The sequence below is a fragment of the Homo sapiens genome, chromosome 3, assembly GCF_000001405.40.
Source record: "Homo sapiens chromosome 3, GRCh38.p14 Primary Assembly".
NCBI lineage: Eukaryota > Metazoa > Chordata > Mammalia > Primates > Hominidae > Homo > Homo sapiens.
In genome coordinates, this window is record NC_000003.12 from 145,938,346 (window position 1) to 145,965,372 (window position 27,027).

A 27,027-nucleotide genomic window follows, 5' to 3' on the forward strand; every position below is an offset into this window, starting at 1 on the left:
CTTTAGCACTGCTGTGCTAAATAACATTTGAGCCACTACCCAAGCTGAAATGCTGCTCCCTCTGCCCCTCTCCTTCTGTCATCAGGAATGAGTAGAGAAAAATCCAACTGGATTCTTTTTGATTCCCAAATGTCACACCGTTTAACCAGCGAATGTGGAAGTTTTCAGTTGATCCTGTGATCTATGATCTTCACACAGTGTCTCTGTTATTCACTGTTCTCCAATGATATGTACAAATGTAGTGAAGATCAATATTCCAGATTTTTCAAAAGCAAGCATAGGCCCTGTTAAGAGAATAAAGTACTCCCTCATGATAATAGAATTTTTACTAAACTTATAAAAATAATGAGTTTAATATGATTATTAAAGGGGTGAATTATCTAAAATCCTATGAAACCTCATAGTTGGTCCTTCACCTTAGAAAGATCAGTAGCAAAGGCAAAAAAGCAGACCCTGTCTCATTCATCAAGAAGGATCAGATCCTCTGAGAGAAATAGAATTTGGGAGATCAAAGTCATATGTAAAAGTGATTTTATGATTACTAAAGTATATAAAATATAAAAGTTATTTTATGTATTTCAAGATATTAAAATTAATTTCTATTCATTATCCCTATATTCACTAGGTGATAGCTGTAGATTTTCTTTCACCAAAGCCTTCAGCAAAATGTGTGTGTGTGTGTGTGTGTGTGTGTGTGTGTGTGTGTGTGTTGGCTGCAGAAAATATGCATGTTTAGAAATGTTTTTATTTTCCAGGATCTGAAGCTTCTATCCAAATGTTAATGGCTATTTGATATACAGTTTAGAGTTATTGATTCCCTCTTTAATTTTCTCATAGTCACAGAAATAAGTAATAATTTGCTTCATATAGAAAATTTGGGAGTAACTTTATCTAATATACTCAGCTATGGTAAATAGAAACTTTTCAACAGCTCTTCCCAAGAGTTGTTGGGGGTTATAGAATCTTAGTTCAGTCAAGGATGACTTTAGACAAAGGGTTTGTTCTGAGTCTGTCTTTCCACAGAATGTACTGAGTGCATCTTTTCTGATAATCTGAGGGGTGCAGATCTAACTCACTGTTTGACTTTCATAGATTCCAAGCTTTATTGCAAAATCCTTTATTCCTACTCTGTCATCCGTTTTATTTCTCTATTATATTTCCAGTTCTCTCTTTTTCCAATTATTCCCCAATAGAAATGAGTCATGATTTGGGGGAATTGACATGCTCTCAGCCATGGAAAAGTAAATAGAAGTAAATCCTGGAATAAATGTTTCTGCTGAGTGGAGTTACATAACTGGCACACATGGGCAGGGACATGGGAAGGATTTAGCGGAAGGTTGAGACAGGAGCTTTCACATTTGTTTATATAAAGGGGAGGGGTAGAAAGAACTAATGGACAGAAACAGGTTATGGCAAGGTATCTGTTTCCTGCCCAGTCATTTGGACTAGGTTTCAGCCCTTTATGCAAAAATAGCTTAAGGCCAGAAGAGCTATTATGATTTCTAAGAGACCCTGGAAAGAAATATTGCTGCTAATGAACTGAGGTGACATAGGACAATGCAGAGTTGAAGAGAGGATAATTTCTCCTTGTCTGCACAGAACGCAGCACACCTTCAGCCCTTCAAAGACGGGCAGCTTTGGCTGCACCCCTGGGCAGTTCCCTGGGTATGCACATTGATGCAATTATAATGTCCTCGCTATGAGATTTCCCACCACCCACGCTGGTGTTCACATCTAGCGGCATCACAGAGAGGTAGAACTAAAGGGAAGAAGTTGATGGATGCCATCTGGTATTGCAGATGATGACAGGTATGTGAATCTCCACAATGCACTGCTGTCAGCCCACAGAAACACCTGAGAAAGCTATGTGGAATTTGCATATGCCGTTGGAAGTAAGGAGAAATTCTGGGTTATTGAGATTAATATGATTTCTTTCATGTTTATATGTAGTTTAAGTGTGATGCCTGAATAGCATAATGCCTTGTTTTTTCCTTCTTTCCTTTTAGGTACTATAAGCATGACTGTAGTACAGATGATGTTTTAGTATTGAAAACAGAGAAATCATTTTACATTCTAAAGTATATTCATTACTTTAAAAATCATAATTGTTAGTTTCTTCATAAGTATATATATTTTAATTTAGTTACTGTATGCAGGCTAATTCCATGCATTTTACATATATTAGTTAATTTAATCATCATAAAATCTTGTGAGATTGATGCTATTGCTATCTCTAGTTTACAGGTAGAGAAACTGAGAGTGCCCAACTAGAAACTGATTATCTACACTTAACAAAGGTTCAGAGATGGGATTAGTTATTCTAATTAGGATGTTTCTATGTGAAATTTAGTAGGAGCATAAACACTTTCCATAAATGTATTTCTCACCAGTTCCAACTTACGTATTTTGTTGCAAAACAAATTAATAAAACTTTAGGACTTCTGTTTTTTAAAAGGGCAATTAGAAAAATTTATCATGTCTGGGTGCGGTGGCTCACACCTGTAATCCCAGCACTTTGGGCGGCCAAGGCGGGCAGATCACCTGAGGTTGGGAGTTCAAGACCAGCCTGACCAACATGGAGAAATCCCGTCTCTACTAAAAATACAAAAAATTAGCCAGGCATGGTGGTGCATGCCTGTAATCCCACCTACTCGGGAGGCTGAGGTAGGAGAATCACATGAATTGGGAGGCGGAAGTTGTGGTGAGCCAAGATCGTACCATTGCACTCCAACCTGGTCAACAAGAGTGAAACTCCATCTCAAAAAAAAAAAAAAAAAGAAAGAAAGAAAGAAAGAAAGAAAGAAAAGAAAAGAAAAATTTTAAATGTTGAGTAGCTGCTTAAGAAGCAGGAAATAAAGATGGAGATTTACTATACAGAAAATCCTCTAAGTGGAAGGGTCTTTTCAAGGAAAAAGTATCTCAGAAGAAAAATTGAGATCCAAAGAAATACACTGTATTAGAGGAACATGACTTCAGATTGACTGTTTTGAAAACTTAAAAAAAAACCTTAATTATTGATAGCATGATAATGATCAGGGTCCTTCTGGTGGGGTACCTCTCAACAAAATTAAATTTTTAAAAAAAGTGAATCCAATAGCAATAGTATTAGTGTTTGACAGTGTTTAAATGCCAGAAAAAAATAAAAGTGAATTTGTTACATGCTGTTAGAAAGGGCATTATTATGTTTGTAAATCATTGCTGCTGTTAGTAAGGTATAATATTAAAGAGCTCATTTTCTGGAGCTAGATAGCCCACATTTAGATCTTGTCTTAATCAGTTTTTAGTTGGGCACTCTCAGTTTCTCTACCTGCAAACTAGAGATAGCAATAGCGTCAATCTCACAAGATTTTATGATGGTTAAATTAACTAATATATGTAAAATGCATGGAATGTAGCCTGCATACAGTAACTAAATTAAAATATATATACTTATGAAGAAATTAACAATTATGATTTTTAAAGTAAATGAATATACTTTAGAATGTAAAATGGTTTCTCTATTTTCAATTCTAAAACATCATCTGTACTACAATCATGTTTATAGTACCTAAAAGGAAAGAAGGAAAAAACGAGGCATTTTTATCAGATATTTTTAAACTCATATACAGTGAAAACACTCATATACAGTGAAAGGGACATTTCTAAATATTTCTGTCCCAGCAAAGAGGTTTTTGTAGCCAAGGTATTTGCTCATAAGCATCTATAGTTGGATGATGTCACATACTTGCTCATCTGCCATTACTTGGGAACAGTAGCTTGTGGCAAGCAAGAACCTGAAGCTTTTACATGGCCATGGTTATGAACCAGGAAATAGGGAATTAAATAAAATCAGAAAAACGGTTGTTGGATCTAAGTTAGGAATCAGTACAAGACCTCATAGAATGATAGGATGACTCATGGTTCTGTGCCTCCTAGAACAATGTTCAATATGACTAACCTGCCACCAAATTAAATGTTTGCTCCAGGATGGTCAGTAAGACAGGCTTGGATTTTCTAATGGACATTTTAGTAAGCAGGTCTGAGGCAAGGTAGAGAGATTCAGGAATACTGGGCCATCAGGGATTATAAAGGTTTGAGGGGATAGGAGGGTAGGAATAGAAGAAAGATTCTGTAAATCTTTCTTCTTCACATTTGCAAGTCTTTTTACTCTCTATTATGCCTAGGAATGTGTGCTAGTGCCAAGCAAATCAGAGTAAATTCCTCTCTAAAAGAGCCATCCAGTTAATTAGATTGCAATACATAGATGATATATATCATTTAGCATTCTTAGAGGTTATAAATTAAGACATTACATTCAGTGAAAAACAGCTATATAGTTTACCGATTTTCTACATGTCTCATAATTTGATGAAAATAAATTAACCCATGATCTGCCTTTATTCTAAAAAAAAAAAAAACTAAAGTTTATTGAGATGGTCACAATACGCCAACCACTATGCTAAGGAACATGTATGCATTGCTAAGAGATTATTGTGCATATCTATAAAACCAGAGGAAGTATTATTAACCTCGGTGTACAGACAAGGAAACTTGAAGCTGAGGAAAGAAACATGAATTTCTAAAAATCACACAGTTCATATGTGTGGGCCTGTGAAATCAAACCCAGGTCAACGTGACTTCATCCTGGGTGTGTAGGCTTCACCATAAAGCTACCCTCAAGTTAAGCCCTGAATTTTTCCAGTGTTGCCAACCCTATGTGCAAATTAAAAGCATCTGGACAACTTTTCTAAATCCTGAGACCAGGCCATACCCAGAACCAATTTAGTAAGATCTTGGGGATAGAATCCAGGCACTCGTAAGTTTAAAAAATTCCCCAGGTGATTCCAATGTGCAGCCAAGATTGAGAACATCTGTCATATATTCCACTCAAAAAAAATTTCACAACTTTGAATTTTGTCCTTTACATAAAATTGCCACAAAGTATCTGTGGTTCTCATGTTCTACTATTTTGATAAATGAAAAAATACTTGTATTAAAAATATATTCCAAATACCCTTCTAACCATTCTCAAAACTGAAATACTCCTAGAAAGACTTAATCTAAATGTTTGTTTGCCACTAGCATTTTTTTCTAAGTTCATTAATTTTTACTTCATGAATTAGAATATTTCAATAGCATGTAAATGTACAATTCTCTGTAGTGTGATGGTTAAGCATTGGGGATTTGATGCTGGCATGTCTAGGTTTGAATCCTGGCTCTATAATTACATTAGAGCAACTTAAATTCTTTGTGCTTCAGTTTTATCATGTGTAGAATAAGGTCAACATTAGTACCTAACTTGTAGACCTTAGAATTATGTCAGAATTAAGTTACATATAAAGAAGACTTAGAATAATGCCTGTTACATAGTAAAAACCCAATGAATTTTAGGTATTTCTATTGTTATTTTGTGTGTAACAGGGGAAAACAAGAGAATGCATTTTCCTCTGTCACACAGACATCCACTGATGAAATAAGAATCTAATTATGTCTCATATACCTGCCCCAGATTTGAAAGGTCATTTTTTCTCATCAGAATGAGTCATTTCATTACCCTCTTTTCATTGCTGGAAAACTTGGTGCAGGCTTTTTACTTTTGCCATTGAATATGCACTTAATACTTGGCCTGAATCAATTCTTCTGACTTGTGATCACTACTATCTATCCATTTTTCTGTCTCAGTGCAGCACTAGAGAAATTCTGCTCTACTCCTCAGTAGACACAGTAGTAATTAAGATAAGTTCAAAGTCTGCTGTAGCATATGGAGCTAAAGTCTGTTTCCACCTATATCACTATGGGCTGCCTCTCACTTGCATCAGAATTCAGAGACTGACATTAGCAAGCCTCCTTCCAGCTTGCATGTAAGAGAGACCTCGCTGGGGATACAGTGGTGAGGCTTCAGCTTTCTGCAGTGCACATTCAACATGGCCACAGCTCTCAGCTGACACATAGCATTTATACCATAATCTAGCACGTTTTTCAATTCAGCATTATATGTTTTTTCAATATATGACACTAACACATATTTGACAACTATACTCCGTTTTTTCTTCTGCCTTTCTTTCTCCCTATAGATCTCAGCTATAGACTTTTTTTGAGTGACAAAGAGTTTTCTATACTTTGTCTTCTTATCTCTGGGCTACAGTATATTTTGCTTACGCCATTTATTTGCTTCCTTTCACTATTCCTTTCAACACATGCTATTCCATTTTTTCTCTGAGGTGCAGAAAAAATTTAAAAGAGAATGTAAATTGAGTCTCACATACAAAAATGATTGGTTGGTTTCATTTTGGAAATTGAGAGAAAACATAAAAATTTCAACAAAGAAATAGATAGGGATATTCAGAAGGCTGGTCAAACTCTAGAGGCTGTCTGCATATTCCTAAACAGAAGTGAATGGATGAACCAGGCAAGTCCAGAGTCAGTGAAGCATGATATCAATAAGGCCATTTAACAACAAAATGTGTTAGTTCAGATGGACCTAATTGATGAGGGATATCTGATGGGGCAATCTTTGTACAGAAGGTCAAAACCAAGGTAGCCTGCTCAGACCTATGGCAGAGGCAGACTGATATCTTCTCAGTGTGGGCCCAGCCAGAAGTTTTTCAAAGTAAGGTGGTAATAAAGCTCCCTGGGAAATCAACCAATTGGCATTGAAAAAATTTGTCACACATTATAAATAGAGTACCCAGGAGTAAATTGTGCATACTTGTGAAATACATCAAGCATTAAATGGGGCCTCAGTGCAGTAACATGTCCTGGTAACCTTAAACACGTCATATAATTATTTCCGAATTCCCCCACACACTGAGTAGCTTGACTATCTTACACATTTAGATAAGATACTACCATTTCATTTATTATATATATGAAATGTACCTCCACTGTTATATATGCAAGATCAATGCTTCGAATTTTATAAAACCTACATTTGTGCCCATTCTTTGGAAGTACACATTTGGTATTATGATAAAAGTATTAAAATATTATTACTCCAATACTCGCAGCCAAAATTTCTGTTGTTAGATATCAGACACTGGCCACCTTGTACTAAAACATATCCTATCTATGATTTGTACTGCTTAAATAAGACTCAATACTTTTACATTTCATGATAATGATGGATATAATGAAGTATTACACCAGGACAGAGCTGAGCTATTACTACCAAGCCTATTATTATTTAGGTCCATGTGAGAACTTGGAAGAAAATTTCAGTAACTCAGTGGTCTTCAAACATTTCAAGTAGTGTGATCTATTTAAAGGAACCACTTAGAACCTCAGTTTCTCAAAATCTCAATAGAATAATAGCAAGCCTCTATTCTTCAAATAATTATAGTGAGGTTAAAATGATATGGTACAAGTTGTATAAAGATGTACAACTGTGATATTATTATTTCTGGTATTGGTCATACAAACAGCTATTTTATAGTATGATAAATGAGGTTTTCACAGCTTCATCAGAAACTCTTTTAAGTCATAATTATATAAATATAACTATTGTATGATTTTGTGAAACTATTCTTTTTAATGTAGTTCTTTACCTGGTAGATATCAATTTGTCAATTGCTTTCTCACACGATATATTCAGAAATTAAAGATGTATGGTTTCTCCAATCCCAGTATGAGCTGAGATTCTAACAGTTTCCTACTAAGAGGACATGTTTCTCCATGGAAGCTTGATCTTAGCAAATAGGACTTTGTTATTTCAAACTCTTTATTTGAAGGTATTATTACATTCAACGTACCAATGAAGGAACTGAAAGACAAAAGCATCAAATTCCCTGTTTCTGGTTCAGCTGCTCTCCACAGCTCCACAGGATTTCTCACATCCATGGCTCATTTCTCCTTTGGTTTTTAGAACTTGCAATTACATTATTTAAGGTTATCAGTTCTGCCAACCAAAATCCTTTGTTTGTTGTAGGATAAATAGATAAGTAGTCTTTAATTAACAGAGGCTAATAAAACAATGTCACCTTATTGTCAGCGGTCTAAAATCTTCAGAAGGCTCTCTCCAGAGACGCATAATCCGTGTTTTCTTACTTCTTGACATTGTGTTTCTCTCCATATGCAAACCAGGAAGTGTGGAGTGAAGGATGCCGTGACACGCTTTGGTCCCTAACAGTGTAAGCGGCATGAGGCAAGTTATCTTCTGTGTCACTGACTTCACCACATGAAAACCAGGTCACTGTCTCATTGCCCTCCCATGGATAACTTAAGGAAGAAGCCCTCAAAAGGATTCTAAAGTTATTGCAAATACAAGGTGTTTTCTTAATTCTCCCTGATAGTCATACCAGGTAAATATGAAAGTTTGCCAATGAAAAGTGGTTTCACTTCAATAAATTCTCTGATTAGTTAAACTATAGAAGGAAAAACACAGGGATTTCAGACTTTCACTAACTGATTTTAATTTTGTTCATTCCTTCCTTCCTTCATTTACATGGACAGCAGCTGCAACACAGTGATTTTATTTTTACTTCTCGTACCATGGCATTTTATTATTACCTGTCTCTGCATAGCTTTTTATGTTTCACCATTTTCCCTTCATCCCCCATCTCAAGTACTATTCCTCTTCCCTCATGAAACCCACCTTGATGTATTTAATATATGTCCTCAAAGCTATCTGGCATAAATTAGTTTACCCGTATGTATGTCTCTGATACTTATGTAGCTTTCAGTTTATAATTTATATAAAATAATTATTCTGCTTGTTTTCCTCAATCTATGCTTTGGAAATCTATTTATTCTGTAACATGTAGATCTATTTCATGTCCTATAACCACTGCACAGAATTACAATTATATCATAGGCACATTCCACATTTTGTTGCCTATCATCTTGATGAACGTGGTGATTTCGGGAGAGCTCACCTATGATTAAAACACGACAGTTACACTGTATCTGTTCTCCTTCCCATTGGAAACTAGGAATTGAGCAGCAGTTGACGAGTGCTAAGATAGAGAAACTATTTCTTTTTACCAGAGGAAGAAAAAGGAAGGGAAGTATCATTTATTAGGGCCAATTCTACTGAAATGGAGATAGGGAAAAATATCATCTCCCAGGATTAATTACAGTGAAGCTACTCCTCTCTACCTATGCAACTATGTGAGTCTTGCCTGGCCTTGCTCTCTTAGCCTACCCGAGCAAGTCAGGCCAAGAAGCTAACTTTTTGTTTTCATTAACTTTTATTTTAAGTTCCTGGGTACATGTGCATGATGTGCAGGTTTGTTACATAGGTAAACATGTGCCATGGTGGTTTGCTGCAGAGATCAACTTACCACTCGGGTATTAAGCCCAGGACCCATTAGCTGTTGTTCCTGATGCTCTCACTTCCCTGCCTGACAGGCCCCAGTGTGTGTTGTTCCCCCATGTGACCATATAGTCTCATCGTTCAGTTCCCACTTATAGGTGAGAACATGTGATATTTGGTTTTCTGTTCCCGCGTTACTTCGCTGAGGATAACAGCTTCCAGTTCCATCCATGTCCCTGCAAAAGGACAAGATCTTGTTCCTTTTATGGCTGCATAGTATTCCATGTGTGTGTGCATACCACATTTTCTTTATCCAGTCTACTGTTGATAGGCACTTGGGTTGATTCCATGTCTTTGCTGTTGTGAACAGTGCTGCAACAAAAATGTGCATGCATATATTTTTATAATAGAATAATTTATATTCCTTTGGGCATATACCCAGTGATGGGATTGCTGGATCAAATGGTATTTCTGCTTCTAGATCTTTGAGGAATCGCCACACTGTCTTCCACAATAGTTGAACTAATTTACACTCCCACCAACAGTGTAGAAGTGTTCCTTTATCTCCTCAACCTCACCAGCATCTATTGCTTATTGACTTTATAATCATCATCATTCTGACTGGTTTGAGATGGTATCTCAATGTGGTTGTGATTTGCACTTCTCTAATGAAAGAAATAAAGATATTCAAATAGGAAGAGAGGAAATCAAATTATGTTTGTTTGCAGATGATATAATCCTATATCTAGAAAACCCCATCGTCTCAGCCCAAAAGTTTCTTAAGCTAAGAAGCAACTTCAGCAAAGTCTCAGGATACAAAATCAAAGTGCAAAAAATGCTGACATTCTTATATGCCAACAACAGGCAGGCAGAGAGCTAAATCATGAATGAACTCCCATTCACAATTGCTACAAAGAGAATAAAATACCTAGGAATACAGCTAACAAGAGAAGTGAAGGACCTCTTCAAGGAGAACTGCAAACCTCTGCTCAGGGAAATCAGAAAGAACACAAACAAATGGAAAATCATTCCATGCTCATGGGTAGGAAGAATCAATGTCATGAAAATGTCCATATTGCCTAAAGTAATTTAAAGATTAAAGGCTATTTCCATTAAACTACTATTGACATTCATCACAGCATTAGAAAAATATATTTTTAAATTCATGGGGAACCAAAAAAGAGCCTGTATAGTCAAGATAATCCCAAGCCAAAATAAAATAGCTGGAGGCATCACACTACCTATTTCAAACTATATTCCAAGCCTAGCATAACCAAAACAGCATGGCACTGGCACAAAAACAGACACATGGACCAATGGATCAGAATAGAGAACTCATAAATAAGACCACACAACTACAACCATTTGATCTTCGATAAATTTGACAAAAACAAGCAATGGGGAAAGGATTTCCTATTTAATAAATGATGCTGGGAGAACAGGGTAGCCATATGCAGAAAACTGAAACTGGACCGCTTCCTTACACCTTATAAAAAAATGAACTCAGGATGGATTAAAGCCTTAAATGTAAAACCCAAAACTATAAAAACCCTCGAAGAAAATCTATGAAATATCATTCAGGATATAGGCATGAGCAAAGATTTCATGATGAAAACACCAAAAGTAATTGCAGCTAAGCAAAAATTAGCAAATGGTACGTAATTAAACTAAGAGCTCCTGCATGGCAAAAAAAAAAAAAAAAAAAAACTATCATCAATGTGAACAGACAACCTACAAAATGGGAGGAAATTTTTCAATCTATCCATATGACAAAGGTCTAATATCCACAGTCAACAAGGAACTTAAACAAATTTACAAGAATAAAACCAACAACCCCATTAAAAAGTGAGCAAAGGACATGAACAGACACTTCTCAAAAGATTATATTCATGCAGCCAACAAACATATGAATCTAACATTTAAAAGGACTGAAACTTTATTGACTTTATTCACTGAATAATTCTTAACCCTCTTTATTTTCCATTTTCAAATTTGTTTGATATTCCATACTCCATATTGCTGACCTTGGCTTCAGCAATATGGAGTATGAAATATAAAACAGTTTGAAAAATATATATATTTTTCAGCTATATACAGCTTCACACATGCACTTGGAGTTTGACTTTTGAGAACACTCGGTCAGGGCTCATATAATCTTTTATCTATGATTTGCATTTACCTGTTAGATCATTGGCTTTAAGCTGTTCTGGGGAGCAACAAAGATGTCTCCAATTAAGGCTTAAGGGTTGCCCCAAGTAATCAATATTTAGCTTTAATTTGCATCCTTAAAAGGAACAAAAAATATATATAAATTGAACAAAATTGATAGCAATTCACTTTCAAGGTTTGGGGAATATGAATGGTAAAATGCCATTCCCCTAGCAAAGAAAATCAATGGATAGTACATTACTTTCCAAATATCTGATTAGCTTACTTTAATATGACTAGCATAAATCCACAAGAGAGTTACTGTAATATCGTATATTTCATCTTCAGTGCCCATATTAGGCTATTTGATTAATTGTCCTACATTTTCAGTAATCCTTAAAAATTTTCCCAAAATGAACTCCTTTCATTCTGGTATTTTCAACATAGATTTTTCTTCCCTGGGTTTTTCAATAATGAGACTCTGTGTGAAAGTAGATATAGCTTTCAGGAGCACAAAGAATATTACATAAAAGGACATTTTAATACTTGTAAATGAGTTGTAGATGCAAACTTCTCTCATGATCCACAGGAAACATTCTAGTTACTATATCACATATGCAGATCCTGTTTTGAATATGAAGAACATGGAGATAACCTAGCACAGCATGATTGGATTGTCAACTTAATGTTTTTATTCATTATTCCCAGCAATTTCAAATCAGATTATAACATGTGTAAACTACAATTATTATAATGCAGTTTTTATGAATAGATGCTATGCAATTTAATATGGTCATTAATTATCAAAACAATCATTTTTATAAAATACAATTATGCAATAGGAAAGATGCGTATTTTAAAGTACACACATGCAATATGCAGAAGGAAGAAATGAAATAAAGAAAATATAAAAAAAACAAAAGGACATAGGAAAACAACTTTAAATGGCTATTGATATTCACCCATCAGTAGTTACTGACAAAAAAAATCTTATATTAAAATAACTAATAAGCTTAATTTATATGCTGGCTTAATATACAGACAACATATATATATATGTAAATCCACATTGTTTACATGTATATGATATATGTATATGTTTGTATGGTGTGCGTGTGTGTATACCCATAGATATTCACATATGCAATCCAAATATATCTCCAGATGTATATATATCCATGCATATCTCTCCATATATATCCATCTCTCTATATTATATATAATATATATATAATAATATATATATATCTGCCTGCTTTGAGCTGCTTTGAAGGCTCGCACTCTCTTTCTCTCTCTCCATAGATAGATGGATATTTCAACGCAGATCACAATGGTGTAGGCACTCGATCTTCCAGATGTTTTAGAGGTGAGCCCACTGGAATTATATTAGTTTCGAGTTTTCTTTGATTATTTTAGTAGCATTTTGAGAGGGCCTAAGATAGAGTCCTTACTTTCCAATTCTTCTTGGTTGTAAAACTGAAAAATTGACTCAAAAAGTCAAATGGAGCAAATTATAATATTGGATTTATCGCTGGTAACATTGGATTGTAGAGATTGGGTGGACCTGAAGTCAAAACAGGGCCTTCTCTTTTAGGACCACAAGCCCATAGAGTAGGGTGGACACACCCCTTCACTGAGTATCAGAAGGGAAGACAAGACAGAGAAGAGGCCTTGATGGGCTGCAGAAGGGAGGTGCATTTTGTCTGTTCCTGGCATGGTGACTACAAGAGCAAGTTCCACTATGCTTGAGTTCTGGGAAGCCATAAGTAAGATAAAAGGCTATGTACTATCAGCATTGTTTCTGTAGAACTCACTGGTAACATAAGCCAATCATTATTCACTCCCTTGGGGAGGAACAAGTATTAGGATGAAGATAAAACTGGTCACTCCTTCCTCAGAATGTAGAATTATTGGCAAAAGTTTCCTTTTCGGGACCTCAGTAGCAATGCAACAGCATCATCATGCCAACAGTAGTTTGTGGAATCCATTCATCTTCCTACCAGACTCTAGGGGTGATATCATCAAGATTCCCAGAATATAGAGGCAGAAATATAAAAAGTGATATGGAATCGAAACATAGGTCATTTTCTCAGCTTAGGATCAGAAACTGTATTATTTAATGGTTGTCTTCTATTTTCTTAGTGGATTTTATCTTGGGCTACTTCATGGTAGCTGATGCCTGTATCCCACCCCTGACATGGACACATACATTTTTACAGTTCTTATGTGATTCGATATAGATTGGTTTCTCACCTAAATAGAAAAAAGAATTATAAAACTTCCTAATGGTGGTGAAGGAAGCAACTTCCTTGGTAAGTACAAATGTATCAGAAGTGCTTGATTCAAAATGTAAACCTTTCCTGTTCAGGGAGTAACAGGCTATAAAAGGATTGGCAGGACTCAGGACTTACTGGTTGGCAAACCTATTACAATTAACTGTTTCCTGAAAGTGTCATTCAGCCTTGTAGAATAGATGCCTCTGTTGGGGCTGTGTTCTCTTGTCTGTCATGAACAGACATAGAGAAAAATAGCCTCAGTATCTCAGTCTTATATTGTTGAGAATAATCTTATTGTATAAGAATATTGAAGCAGGAGTGCTGTAAAGGATTTTAATATTTTGACTATAATACAAAACTGTCTTTTACATTTATACACATGTATTTAATAAAGGCAATGGTTTCAAACTGATTTTTATGTTGCTACTATTGTATTGTCTGTGATATTTATGCTGTTGTGGGTCATCTATACAGTCTCTAGTGAGCTGCTTTGGAGAGTGTGGCTGAGCATAATTTGATGAGAAAAATAGAAGAACAGAGGATTTTTTATTCAGATTCTATGTGAAAATAGGTTAAAAGAACATAGCACATAACATTAGAGATAGAGGAGGACTCGGATCATCTTACTACATTCCCATTGTGGTCTCCAAAAAGGAAACTGCTGCCAATAATTCCAGATGCTGAGGAAGTGTCCACATTTTTCTTTATCCTATTAATTGCTCCTTCCCAAGAAAGTGAGTAATAATTGGCTCATGTTACCAATGAGTTCTGTGGAAGCAATGCTAATTGCACATAGCCTCTCTCTTACTTGTGGCTTCCCAGAACCCAAGCATAGTGGAATTTGCTCTTGTAGTCACCGCACCAGAGGCAGAAAAAATGCACCTCCCTTCTGCGGCCCATCAAGGCCTCTTCTCTGTCTCACCTTCCCGTCTGATACTCAGTGAAGAGGTGGGTCCACCCCACACTATGGGCCTGTGGTCCTAAAAGAGAAGGCCCTGTTTTGACTTCAGGTCCATCCCACTCTCTACAATCTAATGTTACCAGTGATAAACCTATATTATAGTTTTCCCCATTTGACTTTTTGGGTCACTTTTTCAATTTGTTAGAGCCAAGAAGGATGGGAAAGGGAAGAATCCATCTTAGATCCTCTTCCACAAAATACTACTGAAATTAACTAAATGAAACTAAAAAATAATTTACTTCCAATGGGCTCACCAGTAAAATATTTGGAAGCTCAAATGCCTGTACAAATATGATCTCATTGAAAGATCCATACATATAAATATATAGATATATATTTGTATAGATATAGATATGGATGATGTAGAAGATATATATATGGATTATATAGATGATATATACATATAGTCACATAGATATAGATAGATATAGATGTGGATATAGGTAGTCCTTCAGGAAAAAGATGGCATTTTTTACCCAGCCTTGGATAAATACCCCAACCCTCTCTGCAGATGACGTCTAATTGCCAGAAAAGTATTTCCTTTGTTCCACCGACCACGCTATGAACATTGACTGTGGCTAAAGTTATTTTGTGGTTTTATATGAAGGTACTGAGTCAAAAGTCCTCTAGCACTCTTGTTGGTTTGAAGATGAACAGACTTTTTAGTTCATCTAGAACTAAACTAGATTAACATCTAGACTTTTTAGTTCATTTAAAAACCTGTATCCTTTGTCTCATCTGCAAAAAAAAAAGTATTAACAAATGCCTTACCAAAGAAGAATTATAGCAAAGCTTTAGTAAATTGAAAAGAATTAAATCCTTACGTAAAATTCAAAAGGTTATGCAATTGGTATTTTATTTATTTTCATTAACAACAAATGAGGGCTTAAAATAAATACCCGATTCTTTACCCCAGCTGTCCATGATTTTATCAATCATTGAGAAATGACAGTGCAACTTAATAAACTTATCTAGAAAAGTAAATATTATTAAAATGTTATATTTTTATAAAAATTGTAGTGCCATCTGCAAATGTTTTAACCCTATTACTGAATAAATTACCTAATATGTGTTCACCTCAGCACACAGAAAGTTTGTGTAGTTTTCACAGATAAAAGAGTTTACATCCTACAACTGGATAGTCTTGGTTCAAATCCCTTGTTAATTGTGTGTCCTCCATTGAGTAACCATATGTAACTTAGTTTACTCATCTATAAAATAATGCCTACCTCATAGGGTTGTTTGAAGGATTAAATGTGACAAGCATATATTGATCATTGATATGGTTTGGCTCTGTGCCCCTACCCAAATCTCATGTTGAATTTTAATCCCCAATCATGGGGGAAGAACTTGGTGGGAGGAGATTTGATCATGGGGGCAGACTTTCCCCTTGCTGTTCTCTTGACAGTAAGTGACTCCTCACAAGATCTGGTTGTTTAAAAGTGTGTGGCACTTCCCCATTAGCTGTCTCTCTTTTGTCACCATGTGAAGATATGCTTGCTTCCCCTTCACTGTCCATCATGATTTTATGTTTCCTGAGGCCTCCCCAGCCATGCCTCCTGTACAGCCTGCAGAACTGTCAGTCAATTAAACCTCTTTTCTTTATAAATTCCCTAGTCTCCAAAAGTTATTTATAGCAATGTGTGAATGGACTAACACAATAATTTAATGCAGTACATGGCACAGAAGACACAGCTCTTATTTTTATAAAAAAGTGTTTGTTTTGTTATTAATATTGCTTTTTTATTCATTCCAAACTGTTACGAATATGCTTAAAAATTTTAATGTGTTCGTAATTTTGCAGTCCTCCTTGAACATTTCTTTCAAATCTAAGCTCAAATCATAATCACTCAATTAAAAATGTAATAGTTCAAAAATTGCAGACAAAATGGAAAAAGGAAACAAAATCAGCTAACCAATTATTCTCTTGCTCTTTATGTCACCATGTAACCTAAGTGACACTTTTTTTTCATCAACTTGTCATTTTTAAGTTTACATGACTAAATTGTATAGTTCTTTTGGCAGCTTATGGGCCAAACTTAGATACTGCTGTGAGTGTCCAAATCACAAATCTATATAAAGGTCCACTTGTGTCTTTAACCACATGCAGTAGATTTATAATCCCTTCAATGCAAAATAAGCGCTTCTGAAAGTCCTAGAAGATCCAAGCATCTGTCTGTTCTAAAAATGATCACATTAGTGTGCTGATGAATAGTAAGGGACTTAAGCCAACTTAGAAATATTGTATGGCAGAGACAGAAAAAAACAGAGAGAAAGAAAGAGACCAACCTTATTGAGCCCCAAAACTCTTTCTTCCTCCCCCTCTTCTTAAGAAGAATGTTTACTGTTTTATCACAATTCACTGAGGATATACCTATTTCAATGTGTAGATTTTCCTAACGTAATTCTACCCAATGAGATAATATATATTGTCACCAAGATCTACAACACTATTTCAGTTTCCAAATTTATTCTTAGAAAGCTAAAACTAGCTTTAAAAGGTACCTCATTACCATTTGCAAGGTTCAAATCCTGGAAATATAAAATGACGAGTGAGTTTATGAAACTTTTATTTTGGAATTCAGATGAAGTGATAAATGACTACAGTAAGGCCATACTTAAAATACACTACACCTTCAGGTTCAACTAAAGAAAAACTTACTGAAATATAAAAATAGGACTAAACTAATAGAATTTTTTAACCAAATCTGATACATACTATACAATAATGTTGTTTTTACCTGCTAATCTGCTAAGGCTGCCATGAAATATTACCACAGACTAGGTGGCTTAAACAATAGAAATGTATTTTCTTACATTCTGGGAGATGGAAGTCCAAGATCAAGTTGTTAGAGGGTTTGGTTTCTCCTGTGTCCTCTCTCTTTGGTTTGCAGATGACAACTTTCTTGCTATGATTTCACATGGCATAACTCTGCCCTTGCACACTCGTGATGTCTCGTCCTCTTCTTTTAAGGACAAAAGTCTTATTGGAATAATGCTCCACCATTAGGAAATACCACATTTAACTTTAATTACCACTTGAAAAGCCCTAGCTCCAATTATAGTCGCATTGGGGTCCAGGGCTTCTATCTTGGGGAGGACACAATTCAGTCCAAAACAACACCTTTTATCAGAGTAAAATGCCTAAGCAGATATATTATCAATAACCTCATTTTATTTTATCCCAATTTTCAACCTTTAGAATATCAGTGTTGATTTATACAAGTAATAATTCAGTAAAAATCATAAATTCAAGATGTGTTAATTACAAATATAGTTAAGAATGAAGATGTCAAAGCAGAAAATGAAAGTTCTAATTAATCAAGTATTCTTTATCAGGTTATACGACTCAAGGAGTTAATAAAATCTTAAAAACTTATGTATTAAAAGTTACAAGATATAAACATAAAATATATGATTAGTATTCTGGTAGTAGATATATCAAGGAAGATGAAAATAATTGACATAAACTAATGTATAGAAATGGCATAATCTATATTCATAACCTCTCAAAAATAAGTATTGCATGTGTATGTAAAAATGCTTTTCAAAGCATTGATGAAAGGGTATGAAATGGCTTCATAAGAACTGATTAAATCTGTATAACTTAACTCTTAAAGTTAATAATATTCAATCTAATTTAAACTCTTTACTAAATGTGTAGTAGATTTTTTGCCCTTATGAGTTATTTTCCAATGAATGATATCCAAAATACAACCAACAAGTTGCAGTTTGTGACTCCTACAGATAAGCACACAAAAAAATAAACAAATAAAATATAAACAATATTTGACAACACTATAAACAATAAAATCATTTGGAGTTCAAAGACAAAATAAAACACCATGGACTAGAATTGTCAATAACAGTGTTTTAAAATGGTTAGATTTTCGAAGGTTACTGAGGGATGGATTGGAGTATTTATAACACTTTTACAAAAGAGATGAACATAGTAGAAATGAGACTGGTGGCATAATAAAAACAGTTATCTAGTTTTTATTTTATTTTATTTTATTATCCCCCTTATAAGGAGACTAATTATTAGACTAGTGTAATTGGATCAATGTTTCAGAAAGTAAAATAATCAGGACCTTGAATACCTCATTTCAGAAGTCAAATTTTATCCTGAAGAAATGAATACATTGAAAATTTTAGTAGAAAAATATCCACAATGAACACTTCCTTGAGGATTATATATTCATTCCCTCTTTTTCTAATATCAATAGCCAAATTTTCCTAGGAAAACTACTATTCCTGCACTCTTAGACCACTGGTCCAAAGTAAATGTGGGGTTCATTTAATCTTCCAGGCTCCTGGTATAGGCATCAGTACCAATTAACGCATTGCAACTCCTTGGCCTACAATGAACTCTGGAGGCAGACAAGGCCGGTATGAAAGAGTGCAGTGAAATTAATAGAGAATCTCATTCTGCTAGGTTTTCTCAGCTATGAAGAGGAAAACTAACAGATTCCTGAGTCAGCAACACAACCTGCTTGAGAATGAGGACAACACAGAACAGAGCATAACTGAGACATGGGAAAAATAGCTTTCAGGTAACAGATTTTTGAGCACCTTGATACATCTGAGCCTGAATACAATTTTGCCACGGAGATGTTGAGTTATATCAACCAATAAATTCTCTTTTGGGTTTTATGGCAGTTTTCAGAATGTTTTCTGATTCTTGCAACCAAAAGAGTTCTTATTAACTCACTAATAAAATGAACACGTAGGATTGTGTCAAAAAACAAAATCTGTAACTATGGAAAGAGAACACCCTAAGTTACAAAGTGAGTATTACTCCAGTGATTTACCACTGAAAAAGGAAAGCACTTCCTCAGTGTGGCACTTTCCTGAGAGGGAATGAGGGGTGGAGTAGGAAAACTATGGAATAGAGAATTAGTTTAACAGACAGCATTGGAAAGCAAAATAAATGACTTCAGAAAATTACCGCTAAACATGAGGCCTGAGCCATGAGTCCAGGGAAAGTGGTCAGCCATAAATTTGTGGTAGAAACATGTAGTTTACTGTTAAAAAATATAGTTTTTAAATGTAGCAAACATGATTAGAATATAAAAGAAACCAAACAGACAAACATCTTGAATAAATATGTGTTCGGGAAATAATGTCGTTTTTTGCACACAAAACTGAAGTGTGAAATCCGTGGTTCAGAGCGTGAAAGCGGATGCAATGGCTTTACAATAATTGATTAAAATTCTTGTAAATATTGGAAAACTAGTATTTTACATCAAATATTTCTCCTATCCATTCTATAAACCAAGTACATAGAATTCACTCTAAGCTCAGCCTTTAAAAGGAGACTTTAAATGATAAATATAAATTGAAAAATTATTGTCAAAGGAATTTTGAAAAAAAAAATGACCACCTAAGCAGATTTCATGTGAGCATTTAACATGAAAAATTTTAACAAATTATCTTCCACTATGCTGCTGAAAAATTGCTATTTTGTCCAACACTAACCTAAGAAAGTAGGCAAGAACAACCCAATTTGGCCCCCAAAAAAAGCATAAATTGTTAAAAGCAACGAGATTACAAAGGAGAAGCAAACAAACAGTAAGACAAGAATATAAATGTCACTGAAGCTCTAGATAATTTGGTCCAATATTAAGACTGAGCCAAACATATTTATATCACTTAACTCTCTGGCTTAATTTAATTAGGACCAAAAAGAAAGAAGGAGAAGAATGGAAAAAATGGCGAAAGGAAGGAAAAAAGGGAAAGAAGGAGGGAAGAAAAGAAAAGAGAGGGAGTGGAGAATAAAGGAAGGAAGGAAGAAAGGAAGGAAGGAAAAAAGGAAGGAAGGAAGGAAGGGAGGGAGGGAGGGAGGAAGGGAGGGAAGGGAAGGAGGAAATTTCAATCCTTGCTTTGGAAAACCAAATAGATTTATTTACTTGCAAAACCTCTGAGTGAGAAAGGTGAGCTAAATTAAAAGGTAATTGTGTCTTTAAGGACACTATCCCTTCATCAGGCATAGTTGAAAGGTATTTACTAAATTAAGTTTTTCTCATTGCCTTCCACAGTACCCAATGCCAGAAGCTTCATAAAAGTATACAAAGGTATGAATTGAAGTGGGCTCTGGAAACTTTTTAAAGTAAATTTAGCTCCCCTTAGGGGTCAAAAAAATCTAAATTTTAACATATATAATATATATATCTACATGTATGTATAGATTCAGATACATACATGTAAAGATACATATTATGTATGTAAAAATATCTGTATATATATACATGTGTGACTATACAGATACATATTATGTATACATACATATACATCATATGCATACATAGATATGTATATGTAAGTACATACACATATTATGTATACATACACATATTTTTGTATATGTAAATATATACATTTTTGAATCATATACATATATGCATATGCACACATGTACCACACATGCATGTATGCATATACATATGTGTATGTATACATTCATACATACACATAATATGTATGTATATATGGATCAAAAAAAGAATAGCGATTTGTTCTAGAACAAGAAATAGAAAATGAAAAACCTCAAATAAGGAAGTTCATCCAAAAATGGATATTCTTTGTACCACGAGAATTTTGAATGACTGAGTAAAGGTGCCATGAAATCTTATGTCATTGCTGAGGAATAAAGTTAGTATTTTGTTCATTCATTTTGTTTCATTTTTAACATTTGCTTTGGTTTCTGTTTTGCCCATGCCAACTAAGGCAATAAGTTGGGGATGCCAGGGACAAGATAGTGAAAAGAGAGTGCTCCCTAGTCCAATCCCATGCATTTAGTTTTGAGCAGTTGAGAGATACCAGTCTTTTAAAAGAAGCTGAAAAAGTGGTATCATTTGGGATTTTAAAAGACAAAGATTAAGGAGCAAACAGAGCTGCTCTTGACCAAGTCAGCCACATAATTAAGAAGAGTGTTTTCCTTTCAGTTTCTGTGAGGAACATAACTTGGTTTGAACAAAGTGATTATATAAGAAAATGCACTTCTATATGTGAGTTCAAAGCTTTTGTGCTTTAGGAGTTTCCAAAAAGCTGAAACCCACAAAAAAAAAATGGGGGGAGAATTCTTACAAGGAAAAGATGCTCCCATGGCAGGGATGAGTCATATCTCCCACCAAAAATAGTTTCTGGGAAGCAGAAAAGGAGGTCAGAGTGAAAGAATAAGGAGGACCCTACTTGATCACACTTTAGACATGGTAGAGACTCCCAGGAATAATTAATCAGTCCTCGAGTGAAGACCCTACAAGGATGCAGTTGGGGACTACATAGCAGTAAAATGTGGATATTAGTGGCATGGCCCAAAGCCAGTGAATCTCAGAAAAATGTCTATTTTTTAATAGCCATTAGTTAACAAATCACAGTAAAATGTATAGTTACGCTTTGCATAGGAAAAGAAGTATTAATGGAATCAGATATCTTACACAAAGATTTGAACAAATGATAAACAACTAGAATGTACTGGAAAGATTTATTTTGGTAACTATATATATGAACAAACATAAGCATATTATTTATCTATCGTAGGTAACTGAAAAGTACAATCCATCCGTGCTTGTTTAAATTTAGTCTTCAGTAGATAGAAAGTTTACTTTCCTGACAACTCTGCATTTAGAAAAAGTTTGGCTTCATTGAAAACTGCTGACACTCTCTCAACCACCAACAATATATCTTCTGTAGAGAGTTATACCACAGACATACATATAAATGTAAGCAAAAATAAAATGCCAACTCAGACATGCCTTGAGTTTTTTAGTATTTTTCTGATGTATTTCAATGTATTCATCTTCAGAGTAAATTTTCTTTCCATATTTTAACCTTCACAGTTAAAGTCGAACTTCCAAAAATATTGGACTTATGAAACAATTCGCTCTAAGTGTGAATCATTTCTTGAAAAATTTTGATTAAACAGGAAATAAATTTTTAGGATTAAAACAGAACTCCTCTGCACATTTGACTCCCACTTTCTCCCCAAGGCAACAGTCAACTTAAGACCTTTTCTCTGTGTCAAGTCCAGCTAGAAATACAGATAGAGAAATCAGTAAGTAGCCAGGAGCTGTTTGAGCTTCAAAACTATTCTACATGCACTGTGAAACTGCCCATTCAACAAGCTAAATAGAGTCATTAAGGGAAAGGACTGTGGCATATTCTTATGCCCCCTTCAGTGTTAGAACACTAGCCTCTAATTTCCTTCCCTAGTTATGTGCAAATTTCAGATATTCAGGATATCTTGTTTCTAGTTAATAGAAAAATTTTGTTAATTAGACATAATCTAAGTTAAAAGCATTTAAATAACTCTTAAGTAATAAAAATATAGCTGACATTTTATCTTTACTTTTTACCAGATCTATAAAAAAGAAGAGGAAACATACATGGTTTAAGGTAGGAGAAACAAGCTAAAGAGGAAAAACAAAAATGACCATAGGAAGCCAGGCCAGAGTAAGAAGAGTCTGTTGTTTTTAACAGAGTTTCTCTATATTCCAGAAATGTGTATAGTACCCATATATCCCTTGCAAGATTGTTTTGGAGAAATTGTTCCAACTAAATAAATAAAAAATCAGTCAGAAATGGTTCTGCTTGCAGAATATGGGGTGAAAATTAGAGATAACATGCCTGAGAATAACCAGAACATATGTTTAAAAATATATTTAAAAATACATTTGAGTTCGTCAAAGAGATAATATGAGAAATAATTAAAGAGTTAAGATCAAGAAAGAAAGGTAACCTAGATCAATGAACTCAGATTTCAGGGCCAATTCTCCCATCACAGCACCTGGCATTTCTAGCAGAGGTGTGTGAAAAGCAGAGCAACGCAGCACCCAAAATGATCTTGAAACTACTCAGATAGAGTAATTCCTCGACTCAAAAATATACAGCATATTTCCGTGTCATTTAGAACAAAAGCCACAATTCTTAGAATAGTCTACAAGGTTTAACATAAGGGTGATGTCTTAGACTTTTCAACAGGTCACAAGGCTGGGAACATGGGAACTGGATTTGAGGGCAGGCTAAAGTGGGAGAAAGCTATAGTAACACGCATAGTCTTTGGGTTGAGACACAAAAGGTCTACCCCTAGGAATAAGCAGTAAAAAGTAAGAAATCGGCTGATCCTGGGAAGAACTGAAGACCACTTAAAATTAAATCTACATGACTCTACATCTGGGATGCTGGATTTCCTCACAGCCTTAGAGAGAAGTTGAGAACCAAACAAGTGAGCTTCATTCTCTACTTCTGGGAGTTGGATAATACGTATGTTAGTTCTGTTTACTTCATTCCTTATGTTTCTTTAGTCTTCTTCCGTATTTGCCTTTCTTTGATGTCTCAGTATTTCACATGATAGTTTCTAAGCTGATATTTACCCATCCTTAATCTCAGTTACTGTATTTTTCAGTTTTGAAATTCTAAATTTTTTATACAGTTTTTAGTCCCCTCTCCAACTTCTCAAGATTGTCATGTATTTTAGACACGTATGAATATTTTTATTTTAAAATTGTTGAGAACACCATTATCTGGATATACTATATGTTTATCTCTACATTTTTTCTCTCAATTTTAAAATATCATAAACAAAAACTATGGAGATAAACTAAGGTATAGACCTAACATGACCATTATCAAGCCAAAAATTTAATAAGCATTACAAACCACAAATATGAGAAATACAACATTATATTAAGACTAATAAAAACTAATAACAAAGAAAAATCTTAAAGTCAGACTGACAAAAAAGAAAACAAAACATATAACATTTTAACTTGTGTAAACCTAATAAGATAATCCTTCATGAAACAAAAATTTGCAGATCTAAAAGAGTAGGAGATTTTAATAGATCGCTCTCATTTGCTCATAAAGCCAGCAGGCATAAAAATCAGTGAGAATACAGACGACTTGAATAATATGATGAAACGATTAGATCTAATAACCATTGTCTATCACAATAATCCACTGAAGTAGGTGAGATTGCTTTTTTTCCTAAGTACAGCATTGACTTTGAACTCCCTCATAGCATGAAAGCAAGGTGCCTGCTTTGTCTACTCCCACTTATCCTTGAGATAACCACATACAAGGTCCTTCACAGAACAGAAGAAAGGTTTTACTTGGGGAAGTAAAAGAATATTTCACTAATACGGTGAAGGTGGTGTCTTAGCCTGATTTCTGCTGCTGTAACAGAACACCACAGACTAGGTAATTTATAAAGAAAAGTTCATTTGGCTCACAGTTCTGAAGTCTGAAAAGTCCAAAGGTATGACAAAGGCTTCTTGAAAGGGTTTTCATCCTGTATCATAACATGCAGAAAAGCAAAGGAATTAAAGAGACCACAAAAGCAAGCTAAGCTCACTGTTATAACATCCCTCTCTTGCAAAAAAAACGAACTCCCATAATAAAGGCGTTAATCCATTTATGAGGGCTCCACCCTCATGAACCTGTCACCTCTTAAAGACCCAACCTCTTAATCATGTTACATTGGCAATTAAGTTTCCAACAGTTGAGCTTATGGGGGACACATTCAAATCATAGTAGATGTATTAAATGTCTGTTTTAATTAAAGGTACTGCAGGAACATAGAATTAACAAGCAAAAATCCAGAAGGCAGCAAAAACCAAGCAGTGTGGCCGAATCATTAGACCGGCGAGAGGTGAGAAGAAACATACGAAAAAGGAAAAAAGAGGGGAAAAGACTGGAAACATTAATTGGGGTCATATTGATATCATATTGAGAAGTTTGAACATTTTCCTATAAACATTGGTTCCCAAATTATTCATAAATTAGGAGCCCTTTTTTCCCATCAGAAATAATTGTGAGCTTAGTGTGCTTATATTGCTCGGGCAGCATCCTCCCCTTTGGGTAGCTAACCTTTCCACTTTCTATTGGAAAAACCAAGCGACTTCATTCCTCCCATCCCTAATTACCAACCCCAGTATATATTCCATGATTAAAAAAGTAAACCAGACCCTTCTCTAGGCCTTTCCTTTTTTCTTTTCTTTTTTTTTTTTTTTCAAGCTGGAGCAGTAGTGAGGAAAAGTGCTCTCTTAAACTTGAATTAGAAGCTATAAGGACAATGTAAGCTGGAACTCTTTGCAACCATATTTCCAACCATATAAAGAAAGCCTTCTACACTAGGCCAGTGAAGACTGAGAAGCAGAGCTCAAATAAGGCAAGAGAGAGGCCTAAAGGCCAAACCTGAGGGTTTAAGCCTCTAAATTCAGCCATTATATAGAAGTCCTTTCTTATCTCTATTTGTGACAAAGTTTGGAAAATATATATAAGACATGTTGTTTTTCTGGTATAAATACAATGCTTGATATGCTTTCAAACTTTCATAATAAAATTATTATTCTTCATGGCATCAGTAGTCCATGTTTGGAATAGAAAAAAAAAATGGGAATCTAACAAAATTATAGAATAAAGTCAAATAAAATAGCTAGCTTTATTTCTAAGGCCAATATGTATTTTAACAAAGTAATTATGGTCCTTTTAATCCAAATTCAGTATTATCTGACTTCACTCCTTTTCTCTCAATTTTTGTCAGAAATATATTTATATATTTAACTTATTTATTGGCACAGAGCTGTAAGTGATGTTTAACTTAGTTCTCAATTATCCTGTCAAAAAAGAACTGATTTAGTTGAACTGCATAGACACACATCTTAATACAATTATTTTCAGTATGTTAAAAATGGAGAAGTTTTTTCAATAAAGCTAAAATCTATAGGGATGTGGTTGTAATTCACCCAGACCATTGCAAAATCATTGGTTTCATGTCAGTTTTTAACTACCTGATATTCTAAGCAATTTTTTAAATTCAAAGTCAACATTCTGTGAAATTATTCATTTTGAGAATCAAAAGTCATCCCTTGTCAGACGCTTGGTTTCTCGGGAAACGGAATGTTCAAGTTCTTTGATTTTGCCATCTTTAATTTCCTAAAGTGGAGCAGATGTTCTCTGGATATAATAGATATGTGTCTAAGTGAATCTTTCCTTTCTAAATATAAACTTCCAGAAGTATTTGTCTTTATGAACAAAAATAATTTTGCCATAATTGTTTTTCATAAGTATGAGGATGAAGCTTTGTCAACAAAGAGAAATTTGATTAAAGATTTAAAGTGTTACTGTTGTTACTGTTGACGTTGTATTTGTGATTACTTTGAGCCTATACCTTTAAATAATCATTATTATATCAAGGAGACGATGCTTAATTTTCTACGTTATTAATAAGAAGCCCTTGAAGACAATAAGCAAGGCGACAAAAGATATAAGATCAAGTCTCTGAGAAAACTGTTGCTTCAAAGATATCTATTTTGTCACCAAGTGCTATCAATTCTCTTTACATCATTCACAATTCACCTTTCATATTTTGCTCCCTATTCTTATTAAACTACCACTCCTATAGGTTGTCAGAC

General features: G+C 34.6%; 1 long non-coding RNA gene across 3 annotated transcripts; it reads left to right on the forward strand.

Moving 5' to 3' along the window:
* The first annotated feature begins 1,495 nt into the window (after positions 1-1,495).
* LOC107986138 (uncharacterized) lies at positions 1,496-25,780 on the forward strand. 3 transcript variants are annotated; one of them, XR_007096277.1, is made up of 5 exons: positions 1,496-1,809; positions 19,050-19,167; positions 22,972-23,008; positions 23,703-23,837; positions 25,176-25,780. It is a non-coding gene; the product is annotated as an uncharacterized LOC107986138 (long non-coding RNA). The 3 variants fall into 3 exon arrangements; XR_007096278.1 differs by lacking the exon at positions 23,703-23,837; XR_007096276.1 differs by lacking the exons at positions 23,703-23,837; positions 25,176-25,780 and having other exon boundaries at positions 22,972-23,415.
* The last annotated feature ends 1,247 nt before the right edge of the window (positions 25,781-27,027 follow it).